Consider the following 15,136-nt stretch of genomic DNA (forward strand, 5'->3'; position numbering starts at 1 on the left):
AATGTGCAGGTTTGTTACATGGGTATACATGTGCCATGGCGGTTTGTTGCACCCATCAACCCGTCATCTAGGTTTTAAGCCCCACATGCCTTAGGTATTTGTCCTAATGCTCTCCCTCTCCTTGTCCCCCACCCCACGACAGGCCCCAGTGTGTGATGTTTCCCTCCCTGTGTCCATGTGTTCTCATTGTTCAACTCCCACTTATGAGTGAGAACATGTGGTGTTTGGTTTTCTGTTCCTGTGTTAGTTTGCTCTCCTGTTTGAGGTGTCTCTTGACCCCTGCTGGGAGGTCTCTCCCAGTCAGGAGGCATGGGGGTCAGGGACCCACTTGAGGAGGCCATCTGTCCCTCAGCAGAGCTCCAGCGCTGTGCTGGGAGATCTGCTGCTCTCTTCAGAGCAGGCAGACAGGAACGTTTAAGTCTGCTGAAGCTGTGCCCACAGCCACCCCTTCCCTCAGGTGCTCTGTCCCAGGGAGATGGGAGTTTTATCTATAAACCCCCGACTGGGGCTGCTGCCTTTCTTTCAGAGATGCCCTGCCCAGACAGGAGGAATCTAGAGAGGCAGCCTGGCTACAGGGGCTTTGCACCCCACTGTGGTGGGCTTTTCCCAGTCCGAACTTCCTGGTGGCTTTGTTTACACTGTAATGGGAAAACCGCCTACTGAAGCCTCAGTAATGATGGACGCCCTTCTCCCAACCAAGCTCAAGTGTCCCAGGTCGACTTCAGACTGCTGTGCTGGCAGCGAGAATTTCAAGCCAGTGGATCTTAGCTTGTTGGTCTTTGTAGGGGGTGGGATCCAGTGCGCAAGACCACTCAGCTCCCTAGCTTCAGCCCCCTTTCTAGGCGAGTGAACGGTTCTGTCTCGCTGGTGTTCCAGGCACCACTGGGGTACAAAAAAAAACTCCTGCAGCTAGCTCGGTGTCTGCCCAAATGGCTGCCCAGCTTTGTGCTTGAAACCCAGGGCCCTGGTGGTGTAGGCACCCGAGGGAATCTCCTGGTCTGTGGGTTGTGAAGACAGTGGGAAAAGCATAGTATCTGGGCCGGATAGCTCTGTCCCTCACAGCACAGTCCCTCGTGGCTTCCCTTGGCTAGGGGAGGGAGTTCCCTGACCCCTTGTGCTTCCCAGGTGAGGCAATGCCCCACCCTGATTCTGCTTGCCCTCCATGGGCTGGGCTGCACCCATTGTCTAACCAGTCCCAATGAGATGAGCTGGGTACCTCAGTAGGAAATGCAGAAATCACCCGTCTTGTGCGTTGGTCCATTGATCTTGCTGGGAGCTGCAGACCAGAGCTATTCCTATTTAGTCATCTTGCCTGGATGGCCACATTTTTTAATCCATTTATCTGTTGATGGACACAGATTACTTCCAAATCTTAGCTATTGTGAACAATGCTGCAACAAACATGGAAGTATAGCTATCCCTTCCATGTACTGGTTTCCTTTCTTTTGGGTATATTTCCAGCAGTGGGATTGCTAGATCATATGGTAGCTCCATTTTTAGTGTTTTTTTTGTTGCTGTTGTTTGTTTGTTTTTTGATGGAGTTTCACTCTGTCTCCTAGGCTGGAGTGCAGTGGCATGATCTTGGCTCACTGCATCCTCCGCCTCCTGGGTTTAAGCAATTCTCTGCCTCAGCTTCCTGAGTAGCTGGGATTTCAGGTGCCCACCACCACGCCCAGCTAATTTTTTTGTATTTTTAGTAGAGACAGGGTTTCACCATCTTGGCCAGGCTGATCTTGAACTCCTGACCTTGTGATCCACCTGCCTCAGCATCCCGAAGTGCTGGGATTACAGGTGTGAGTCACTGCACCTGGCTTATTTTTACTTTTTTGAGGAACCTCCAAACTCTTCTCCATAGTACTTGTACCAGTGTATATTCCCACTAACAGTGTATAAGGGTTCCCTTTTCTTCACATTCTTGCCAGTATTTGTTATTGCCTGTCTTTTGGATATTAGCCATTTTAAGTGGGGTGAGATGATAACTCATTGTACCTTTTATTTGCATTTCTCTGATGATCAATGATGTCGAGCACCTTTTCATGTGCCTATTTGCCATTTGTATGTCTTCTTTTAAAAAATATCTAGTCAAATCATTTTTGGTTGGATTATTAGATGTTTTCCCATAAAGTTGTTTGAGTTCCTCGTATATTATGGTTATTAATCCCTTGTCAGATGGGTTGTTTGCTAATATTTAGTTTTCTCCCATTCTGTGGGTTGTCTTCTCACTTTATTGATTGTATCCTTTACTGTGCAGAAATTTTTTTAACTTGATGGGATCCCATTTGTCCATGTTTGCTTTGGTTACTGTGCTTGTGGGATATTGCTCAATAAATCTTTGTCCAGACCAATATCCTAGAGATATTTCCTTATGTTTTCCTGTAATAGTTTCATACTTTAAGGTCTTAGTTGTAAGTCTTTAATCCATTTTGATTCGATTTTTATATATGGCAAAAGATAGGGGTATAAGTTTCATATTTTTTTCTGCATATGGATATCCAGTTTTCCCAGCACAACTTATTGAAGAGACTGTCTTTTTCCCAGTGCATGTTCTTGGGAACTTTGTTGAAAATGACTCCACTGTAGATGTGTGGATTTGCTTCTGGATTCCCTATTCTGTTCCATTGGTCTATGTGTGTGTTTTTATGCCAGTACCATGCTGTTTTGGTTACTATAGCTCTGTGGTATAATTTGAAGTCAGGTAATGTGATTCCTCCAGTTTTGTTCTTTTTCTTAGGATAGCTTTGGCTATTCTGGGTCTTTTGTAGTTGTATATAAATTTTAGAATTGTTTTTTCTATTTCTTTGAAGAATGTCATTGGTATTTTGCTAGGGATTGCATTGAATCTGTAGATTGCTTTGGTTAGTATGGACATTTTTAACAATATTGATTCTCCTCATACATGTACATAAAATATATTTTTTTCATTTTTTGATATCCTCTTCAATTTCCTTCAACAGTGTTTTATAATTTTCACTATAGAGATCTTTCACTTTTTTGGTTAATTCCTAGTATTTAATTTTACGTGTGGCTACTGTAAGTGGAAATACTTTTTAAAATTTCTTTTTCACATTGTTCACTGTTGGCATATAGTAATGCTACTGATTTTTGTATGTTTATTTTGTATCATGCAACTTTACTGAATTTGTTTATCAGTTCTAATAGTTTCCTTGTGGAGTCTTTAGGTTTTTCCAAATATAAGTTCATATTATCAGCAAACAAAGATAATTTGACTTCTTCCTTTTCAATTTGCATATCCTTTGTATGCTTCTTCTGTCAGATTGCTCTAGCTAGTACTTCCAGTACTATGTTGAATAACAATGGTGACAGTGGGCATTCTCATCATGTTCTAGATATTAGATGAAACGACTTCAGGTTTCAGTTTTTCCCCATTCAGTATGATACTAGCTGTTGGTCTGCTGTATATTTTTTTTAAATATAGGTCAATAGCTTTTCAGGAACAGGTGGTTTTTGGTTACAGGGGTTTCCCCTTAGTGGTGATTTCTGAGATGTTGGTGTACCAATCGCCTGGGCAGTGTACACTGTGCCCAATGTGTAGTCTTTTATCCCTTACCCCCTCCTACCTTTCACCCTCCGAGCCCCCAGAGTCCATTATATCATTCTTATGCCTTTGTGTCTTCATAGTGTAGCTCCCACTTATAAGTGAGAACATAAGATATTTGGTTTTCCATTACTGAGTTACTTCACTTAGAATAAAGTTCTCTAACTCCATCGAAGTTGCTGTGAATTTCATTATTTCATTCCATTTTATAGCTGAGTAGTATTCCATGGTATAGATATACCACATTTTTCTTTATCTACACATTGGTTGATGGGCATTTAGGCTGGTTCCATACTTTTGCAATTGTGAATTGTACTACTATAAACATGCATGTGCAACTGTCTTTTTCATAAAGACTTATTTTCCTTTGGGTAAATATTGAGTAGTGGGATTACTGTACCAAATGGTAGTTCTATTTTTTGTTCTTAAGGATTCTCCATAGTGTTTTCCATAGTGGTTGTACTAGTTTACATTCCCACCAGCAGTGTAAAATTGTTCCCTTTTCACCACACCCATGCCAAAATCTATTATGTTTTTGTTTTTTAATTATGGCCATTCTTGCAGGAGTAAGGTGGTATCTCATGGTTTTAATTTGTATTTCCATGATAATTAGTGATGCTGAGCATTTTTATGTGTGTTTTATAACTATTTGTATATCTTCTTTTGAGAATTTTCTATTCATGTCCTTTGCCCACTTTTTGATGCAAGTGTTTGTTATTTGCTGATTTGAGTTCCTTGTAGATTCTAGATATTAGTCCTTTGTCAGATGTTTAGTTTGTGACCATTTTCTTCCATTCTGTGGGTTGTCTGTTTACTCTGCTGATTATTTCTTTTGCTGTGCAGAAGCATTTTAGTTTAATTAGGTCCTATCTATTTATTTTTGTTTTTGTTGCATTTGCTTTTTCGTTCTTGGCCATGAACTCTTTACCTAAGCCAATGTCTAGAAGATTTTTTCTGATGTTGAGCATTTTCTCATACACTTATTTGTCATTTGTGTGTCTTCTTTTGAGAAATGTCTTTTCAGGTCCTTTGCCCTTTCCTAAATTGTTTTTCTGCTATTGAGTTGTATGAAGTCTTCATACACTTCAGATATTAACCTTTTATCAGATAAATGATTTGCAAATATTTTTTCCCATTCCATAAGTTGCCTTTTCACTCTGTTGATTTTTCCTTAAGGGCCAGAAATGTGTCTGATTCAAAGAGCCTGGCACAGAGTACAGAGATCACATGATCTCACTCACATGTGGAGGCTAAAATAAGTTCCTCTCATAGAAGTAAAAAGCAGAACAGAAGTTATTAGAGGCTGGAAAGAGTAGGAAAAAGGTGGGGATAGAGAAAGATTTGTTAAAGAACATAACATTTCAGTTAGTTCTAGTGTTTTATGGCACTGTAAGATGACTTCAATATAACAATGGTATATTATATATTTTCAGATAGATAGAGGATATTGAATGTTCCCAGCATAAAGAAATGATAAATATTTATGATGAGTATACGATGTTCATCTGATTATTATATATTGTATGTGTCAAAACATCACTATGTACCCCATAATATGTGCAATTATTATGTGTTAATTAAAAGTAAGTAAATAAATTTTTAGAAGGAAGTTCTTTTTAAAAGTTCAATGACATTCTGGAAGAATAAAAAGCCTGAAGATCCTAGGGAACACTTTTGGGAAGTGCTAGTCAGGTCTGCAGGGCATCCTCAAAGGGTGCTAGCTGATCACAACACCCAAGTACTTTTGAATATCTGGAAAGCCTTCCCAAGAAGGATGGTTGCAAACAAGCCCAGACAGTGAACGCTACAATAAATACCTAACTCTTCAATGCCCAGACACAGAAGAACATCTGCTAGCATCAACGCCATCCAGGAAAACATGACCTCACCAAATAAACTAAATAAGGCAACAAAGACCAATTTTAGAGAAATAGAAACATGTGACCTTTCAGACACAGAATTCGAAATAGTTGTGTTGAGAAAAAAAGAAATTCAAGAAAACACAAAGAAGGAATTCAGAATTCTATCGGATAAATTTAACAAAGAGATTGAAATAATTAAAAAGAATCAAGCAGAAATACTCAAGCTGAAAAATGCAATTGACATACAGAAGAATGCATCAGAGTCCTTTAATAGCAGAATGGCTCAAGCAGAAGAATTAGTGAGCTTGAAGACAGGCTATTGGAAAATACACAGTTAGATGAGACAAGAAAAAAGAACAAAAAAGAATGAAGCACAACTACAGGATTTTAAAAATAGCCTCAAAGGGCAAACCTAAGAGTTATTGGCCTTAAAGAAGAGGTAGAGAAAGAGATGAGGTAGAAAGTTTATTGAAAGGGATAATAACAAAGAACTTCCCAAAAGTAGAGAAAGGTATCAATATCCAAATACAAGAAGGTTATAGAACACCAGGCAGATTTACCCAAAGAATATTACCTCAAGGCATTTAATAATCAAACTCTCCAAGGTCAAGGACAAAGAAAGGATCCTAAAAGCAGGAAGAGAAAATAAACAAATAACATACAATGGAGCTCCAATATGTCTGGCAGCAGACTTTTCAGTGGAAACCTTACAGGCCAGGAGAGAGTGACATGACGTATTTAAAGTGGTAAAGGAAAAACTTTTATCCTAGAATAGTATATCTGGTGAAAATATCCTTCAAACATGAAGAAAAAATACTTTCCCAGGCAAACAAAAGCTGAGGGATTTTTATTAACACCAGACATGTCCTACAAGAAATGCTAAACAGAGTACTTCAATCAGAAAGAAAAAGATGTTAATGAGCAATAAGAAATCATCTGGAAGGGGGAGCAGCAAAGATGGCCAAAGAGAATCAGCTCTGCTCTGTGGCTCCCACCAAGAACAATAAAAACGGTGAGTGAATTCTGCATCTTCAATTGAGGGACCAAGGTTCTCTCAATGGGACTGCCTAGGTGGTTGTTGCAGTCTACAAAGAGTGAGGAAAAGCAGGGTGGAGCAAGGGCCTATCTAGGAGCTGAACAGAGCAAAGTGATCTCCCTTCCCTGGCCAACGGTGGTGGTGAAGGATTGTGCTACCCGTCCCTTAAAACAATGCTTTTTCCATGGATCCTTGGAACCCGCAGATCAGGAGGTCCCCTCATGAGCACATGCCACCAGGGCCTTGGGGCCCAAGTGCAGAGCTGTGGAGATGCAAGGTGGTGGTTGGGTGGGCAGCCACTCGAGCAAGCATTGAGGTACATAAGTATTTGCAAACTCTGGCTCTGGGAACTCCAGTGAGGCAGGAAATCAGTCCATTCCTATGAGGAAGCCAAGCAGCCTAATTCCCATGGAACTCCACAAGCTAAAACTCACGGGTTTGGAATTCCCACCGACCAGTGCAGCAGGCTGGAAACTGCCTAAGAAGACTGAGTTCCCAGTGGGGAGGGGGGCCACCATCACTGTGGCTCCAGTCAGCCGTTTTCCCCTGCTGCCAGGGCCGGTGAGACTGGGCAGTTTGGACCAGGGGCAATTCCCCACAGCATAGCACAGTGGTTGGGTCAGTTTGTGGCCAGACTGCTTCTTTAAGCGAGACCCTGATCCACTCCTTCTTATTGGGCAGGGCCTCCCTGTGGGAATTCCAGCAATCCCAGCCAGGAGTTTATGGACAGAAAGCTGATATCCCTGAGAGGGACCCTTAGGAGGAGGGAAGGCTGCAATATCACGGATCAGTGGTCTTAATTTTTTCTGCTGGCTGACTCTGAAGAGTCAGGGCAGCCTGGACAAGGGGGATTCCCCCAAGCACAGCATACTTGCTTCACTAAGATGAATCCAGGAGCTGGTTTTTTGAAAAGATCAACAAAATCGATAGACTGCTACCAAGACTAATAAGGAAGAAAAGAGAGAAGAATCAAATAGACGCAATAAAAAATGATAAAAGGGGATATCACCACCAATTCCACAGAAACACAAACTACCATCAGAGAATACTACAAACACCTCTATGCAAATAAACTAGAAAATCTAGAAGAAATGGAGAAATTCCTCGATACATACACCCTCCCAAAACTAAACCAGGAAGAAGTTGACTCTCTGAATAGACCAATAACAGGCTCTGAAATTGTGGCAATAATCAATAGCTTACCAACCAAAAAAAGTCCAGGACCGGATGGATTCACAGCCGAATTCTACCAGAGGTACAAGGAGGAGCTGGTACCATTCCTTCTGAAGCTATTGCAATCAATAGAAAAAGAGGGAATCCTCCCTAACTCATTTTATGAGGCCAGCATCATCCTGATACCAAAGCCTGGCAGAGACACAACCAAAAAAAAGAATTTTAGACCAATATCCTTGATGAACATTGATGCAAAAGTCCTCAATAAAATACTGGCAAACCGAATCCAGCAGCACATCAAAAAGCTTATCCACCATGATCCAGTGGGCTTCATCCCTGGGATGCAAGGCTGGTTCAACATACGCAAATCAATAAATGTAATACAGCATATAAACAGAACCGGAGACAAAAAACACATGATTATCTCAATAGATGCAGAAAAGGCCTTTGACAAAATTCAACAACGCTTCATGCTAAAAACTCTCAATAAATTAGGTATTGATGAGACGTATCTCAAAATAATAAGAGCTATCTATGACAAACCCACAGCCAATATCATACTGAATGGGCAAAAACTGGAAGCATTCCCTTTGAAAACTGGCACAAGACAGGGATGCCCTCTCTCACCACTCCTGTTCAACATAGTGTTGGAAGTTCTGGCCAGGGTAATTAGGCAGGAGAAGGAAATAAAGGGTATTCAATTAGGAAAAGAGGAAGTCAAATTGTCCCTGTTTGCAGACGACATGATTGTGTATCTAGAAAACCCCATTGTCTCAGCCCAAAATCTCCTTAAGCTGATAAGCAACTTCGGCAAAGTCTCAGAATACAAAATCAATGTACAAAAATCACAAGCATTCCTATACACCAATAACGGACAAACAGAGAGCCAAATCCTGAGTGAACTCCCATTCACAATTGCTTCAAAGAGAATAAAGTACCTAGGAATCCAACTTACAAGGGACATGAAGGACCTCTTCAAGGAGAACTATAAACCACTGCTCAATGAAATAAAAGAGTATTCAAACAAATGGAAGAACATTCCATGCTCATGGCTAGGAAGAATCAATATCATGAAAATGGCCATACTGCCCAAGGTAATTTATAGATTCAATGCCATCCCCATCAAGCTATCAACGACTTTCTTCACAGAATTGGAAAAAACTACTTTAAAGTTCATATGGAACCAAAAAAGAGCCCGCATCGCCAAGTCAATCCTAAGCCAAAAGAACAAAGCTGGAGGCATCACACTACCTGACTTCAAACTATACTACAAGGCTACAGTAACCAAAACAGCATGGTACTGGTATCAAAACAGAGATATAGATCAATGGAACAGAACAGAGCCCTCAGAAATAATGCCGCATATCTACAACCATCTGATCTTTGACAAACCTGAGAAAAACAAGCAATGGGGAAAGGTTTCCCCATTTAATAAATGATGCTGGGAAAACTGGCTAGCCATATGTAGAAAGCTGAAACTGAATCCCTTCCTTACACCTTATACAAAAATTAATTCAAGATGGATTAAAGACTTAAATGTTAGACCTAAAACCATAAAAACTCTAGAAGAAAACCTAGGCAATACCATTCAGGACATAGGCATGGGCAAGGACTTCATGTCTAAAACACCAAAAGCAATGGCAACAAAAGCCAAAATTGACAAATGGGATCTAATTAAACTAAACAGCTTCTGCACAGCAAAAGAAACTACCATCAGAGTGAACAGGCAACCTACAAAATGGGAGAAAATTTTCGCAACCTACTCATCTGACAAAGGGCTAATATCCAGAATCTACAATGAACTCAAACAAATTTACAAGAAAAAAACAAACAACCTCATCAACAAGTGGGCGAAGGATATGAGCAGACACTTCTCAAAAGAAGATATTTATGCAGCCAAAAGACACATGAAAAAATGCTCATCATCACTGGCCATCAGAGAAACGCAAATCAAAACCACAATGAGATACTATCTCACACCAGTTAGAATGGCAATCATTAAAAAGTCAGGAAACAACAGGTGCTGGAGAGGATGTGGAGAAATAGGAACACTTTTACACTGTTGGTGGGACTGGAAACTAGTTCACCCATTGTGGAAGTCAGTGTGGTGATTCCTCAAGGATCTAGAACTAGAAATACCATTTGACCCAGCCATGCCATTACTGGATATATACCCAAAGGATTATAAGTCATGCTGCTATAAAGACACATGCACACATATGTTTATTGCGGCACTATTCACAATAGCAAAGACTTGGAACCAACCCAAATGTCCAACAACGATAGACTGGATTGAGAAAATGTGGCACATATACATCATGGAATACTATGCAGCCATAAAAAATGAAGAGTTCATGTCCTTTGTAGGGACATGGATGAAACTGGAAACCATCATTCTCCGCAACCTATCGCAAGGACAAAAAACCAAACACCGCATGTTCTCACTCATAGGTGGGAATTGAACAATGAGAACACATGGACACAGGAAGGGGAACATCACACTCTGGGGACTGTTGTGGGGTGGGGGGAGGGGGGAGGGAAGCATTAGGAGATATACCTAATGCTAAATGACGAGTTAATGGGTGCAGCACACCAACATGGCACATGTATACGTATGTAACAAACCTGCACATTGTGCACATGTACCCTAAAATTTAAGTATAATAATAATAAAATAAAATAAAAAAAAGAAACTCAAAGACCACACAACTACATGGAAATTGAACAACATACTCCTCAATGACTTCTGGGTAAATAATGAAATTAAGGCAGAAAACAAGAAGTTCTTTGAAATTAATGAGAACAGAGACAATGTACCAGAATCTCTGAGACACCGCTAAAGTAGTGGTAAGAAGGAAATTTATAGCACTGAACGCCCACATTGAAAAGCCAGAAAAATCTCAAATCGATACCCTACCATTACAACTAAAAGAACTAGAAAACCAAGAGCAAACAAACCCCAAAGCTAGCAGAAGACAATAAATAAACAAGCTCAGAGTGTAACTGAAGGAGAAAAAGACATGAAAAACCCTTCAAAAAAATGGATGAATCCAGGAGCTAGTTTCCTGAAAAAATTAATAAAACATATAGACTGCTCCTAGACTAATGAAGAAGAAAAAAGAGAAGAATCAGATAGACACGATAAAAAGTGATAAAGGGATATCACCACTGACCCCACAGAAATACAAACAACCTTCAGAGAATACTATAAACACCTCTATGCAAATAAACTAGAAAATCTAGAAGAAATGGATAAATTCATGGACACATACACCCTCCCAAGACTGAGCCAGATAGAAGTTGAATCCCTGAATAGACCAATAACAAGTTCTGAAATTGAGGCAGTCGTCAATTGCCTAGCAACCAAAAAATGCCCAGGACCAGGTGGATTTACAACTGAATTCTACCAGAAGTACAAAAAGGAGCTGATACCTTTTCTTCTGAAATTATTCCAAACAATTGAAATGGACGCACTCCTCCCTAATTCATTCTATGAGGCCAGCATCATCCTGATAACAAACTTGGTAGAGATACAACAAAAATAGAAAACTTCATGCCAATATCCCTAATGAACATTGATGCAAAAATTCTTAATAAAATACTGGCAAAACGAATCTACCAGCACATCAAAAACTTATCTGCCACCAATAAATTGACTTCATCCCTGGAATGCAATTGCGGCTGGTTCAACATACCCAAATCAATAAACCTAATTTATCACATAAACAGATCCAAAGACAAGAACCACATGATTATCTCAATAGAGGCTGAAAAGGCCTTGATAAAATTCAACATCCCTTCATGTTAAAAGCTTTCATTAAAATAGGTAATGAAGGAACATGCCTCAAAATAATAAGAGTGATACATGAAAAACCCACAGCCAATATCAAAATGAATGGGCAAAGCTGGAAGCATTCCCCTTGAAAACTGGCACAAGACAAGGATGACCTCTCCCACCACTCCTATTCAACATAATATTAAACGTTCTGACTAGGGCACTCAGGCAAGAGAAAGAAATAAAGAGTATTCAAATAGGAAGAGAGAAAGTCAAATTGTGTCTTGTGTGCAGATGACATGACAGAAAACCCCATCATCTCAGCCCAAAAGCTTCTTCAGCTGATAAGCAACTTCAGCAAAGTCTGAGGATACAAAATCAATATGCAAAATTCACAAGGATTTCTATACACCAACAACAGGCAAGCAGAGAGCCAAATCATGAATGAACCCCCATTCAAAATTGCTGGAAAAGGAATAAAATACTTGGGAATACAGTTAACAAGGGAAGTGAAAGACCTCCTCAAGGAGAACTACAAACCACTGCTCGAGGAAATTAGAGAGGACACAAACAAATGGAAAAATATTCCATGCTCATGAATAGGAAGAATCAACATTGTGAAACTGGCTATATTGCCCAAAGTAATTTATAGATTCGATGCTGTTCCCATTAAACTACCATTGACATTCTTCGAAGAATTTGAAGAAACTACTTTAAAATTCATATGGAACCAAATAAGAGCCCATACAGCCAAGACAGTCATGCTACCTGACTTCAAAGTATACTACAAGGCTATAGTAACCAAAACAGCATGGTATTGGTACAAAAACAGACACATAGACTGATGGAACAGAATAGAGAACTCAGAAATAGGACTATACATCTACAACAAACTGATTTTTGTCAAACCTGACAAAAACAAACAATGGGGAAAGGATTCCCTGTTTAATAAATGGTGTTGAGAGAACTGGCTAGCCATATGCAGAAAATTGAAACTGGTCCCCTTTCTTACACCTTATATGAAAATTATTCAAGATGGATTAAAGACTTAAATGTAAAATCCCAAATTATAAAAACCTTAGAAGAAAACCTCAGCAATACCATTCAGGACATAGGCATGGGCAAAGATTTCATGATGAAATTGCCAAAAGCAACTGCAACAAAAGCCAAAATTGACAAATGGGATCTAATTAAACTAAAGAGCTTTTGCACAGCAAAAGAAACTATCATCAGAGTGAACAGACAACCTAGAGAGTGGGAGAAATTTTTTGCAATCTACCCATCTGACAAATGTCTAATATTCAGAATCTACAAGTAACTTAAACAAATTTACAAGAAAAAACAACCCCATTAAAAAGTAGGCAAAGGACACAGACACTTCTCAAAAGAAGACATTCATGCAGCCAAACATGAAAAATAGCTCAACATCACTGATCATTAGAGAAATGCAAATCAAAACCACAGTGAGATACCATCTTATGCCAGTCATAATGGTGATTATTAAAAAGTCAAGAAACAACAGATGCTAGCGAGGTTGCAGAGAAATAGGAACATTTTAACACTGTTAGTGTGAGTGTAAATTAGTTCAACCACTGTGGAAGATGGTGTAGCAATTCCTCAAAGATCTAGAACCAGAAATACCATTTCACCCAGCAATTCCATTACTGAGTATATACCCAAAGGAATATAAATCATTCCATTACAAAGATACATGCATGCATATGTACACTGCAGCACTATTCACAATAGCAAATACATGGAATCAACCCAAATGCCCATGAATGATAGACTAGATAAAGAAAATGTGGTACATATGCACCACAGAATACTATGCAGCCATAGAAAGGAATGAGATCATGTCCTTTGCAGGGACATGGATGGAGCTGGAGGCCATTATCCTCAGCAACCTAATTCAGGAACAGAAAATCAAACACTGCATGTTTTCACTTAAAAGTCGGAGCTGAACATGAAAACACATGGACACAGGGAGGGGAACAACACACACTTGGGCCTGTCCCAGGGTGGGATCGAGGGAGGGAGAGCATTAGAAAAAATACCTGATGCATGCTGGCCTTAATACCTAAGTGATGGGTTGATGGGTGCAGCAAACCACCATGGCACATGTTTACCTAAGTAACAAACCTACACATCCTGCACATGTACCCCAGAACTTAGAATAAAAATTTAAAAATATATATAGTCATTTCAATTGATGCTGAAAAAGCATTTAAGGTTCAACATTCCTTCATAAATAAAAACCTTCATAAATCTAGGGATAGAAGAAATATACCTCAACATCATAAAAGCCATATGTGACAGACTCACAGCTAGTACCACAGTGAATAGGGAAAAACTAAAAGCCTTATGGAACATAACAAGGATGCCCACTTTCAACAAGGATGCCCACTTTCACCATTTTTATTCAACATAGCACTGGAAATCCTAGCTAGAACAATTCAGGTAAGAGAAAGAAATCAAGGGCATCCAGATTGGAAAGGAAGGAGTCAAAGTATCCTTGTTTGCAGATTATATGATCTTATATTTGGAAAAACCTAAGGGCTCACAAAAAACTATTAGAACTAATGAAAGTATTCAGTAAAGTTGCAAGATATAAAGTCAATATAGAATAATCAGTAGCACTTGTGTATGCCAACAGTGAGCAATCTGTAAAACAAATCAAGAAAGGTATCCCATTTACAATAGCCACAAATAAAATAAAGTACCTAGTAATTAACTTAACCAAAGAAGTGAAATATCTCTATAATGAAAACTATAAAATACTAATGAAGGAAATTGAAGAGGACATAGAAAAATGGAAAGGTATTTCATGTTCATGGTTTAGAACACTCCATATTGCTAAAATGTCCTTACTATCCAAAGCAATCTACAGATTCAATGCAATTCCTATCAAAATACCAATGACATTCTTCACAGAAATAGAAAAAAAATTCTAAAATGTATATGGAACCACAAGGACCCAGAATAGCCAAAGCTATCCTAAGCAAAAAGAGCAAAACTGGAGGAATCACATTACCTGACTTCAAATTATACTGCAGAGCTATAGTAACCAAAACAGCATGGTACTGGCATAAAAACACACATATAAATCAATGGAGCAGAATAGAGACCCCAGAAACAAATCCATACACCTACAGTTAACTCATTTGCAACAAAGACTCCAAGAATATGCACTGGGGAAATGACAGTCTCTTTAATAAATTGTGCTGGGAAAACTGGATATCCATATGCAGAAGAATCAGACTAGACCCCTATCTCTTGCTATATACAAAAATCAAATCAAAATTGATTAAAGTCTGAAATCTAAGACGTTAAACTATGAAAATGCTACAAGAATACATTGGGGAAACGCTCCAGGACATTAGTCTGGGCAAAAACTTGAGTAATATTCCACAAGCACAGGCAACTAAAGCAAACATGGACAAACGGATAACATTAAATTACAACGTTTCTGCACAGCAAGGGAAAAAACTAACAAATGGAAGAGACAACACAAAGAATGGGAGAAAATAGTTGCAAGCTACTCATATGACATGGGATTAATAACCAGAATATATAAAGAGCTAAAACAACTCTATAGCTAAAAATCTAATAATCTAATTAAAAATGGTGAAGAGCTATGAATAGACATTTCTCAAAAGAAGACATACAAATTGCAAACAGGCATGTGGAAAGGTGCTTAACATCATTGATCATCAGAGAAATGCAAATCAAAA

This window comes from Homo sapiens, chromosome X (assembly GCF_000001405.40).
Source record: "Homo sapiens chromosome X, GRCh38.p14 Primary Assembly".
Lineage (NCBI taxonomy): Eukaryota > Metazoa > Chordata > Mammalia > Primates > Hominidae > Homo > Homo sapiens.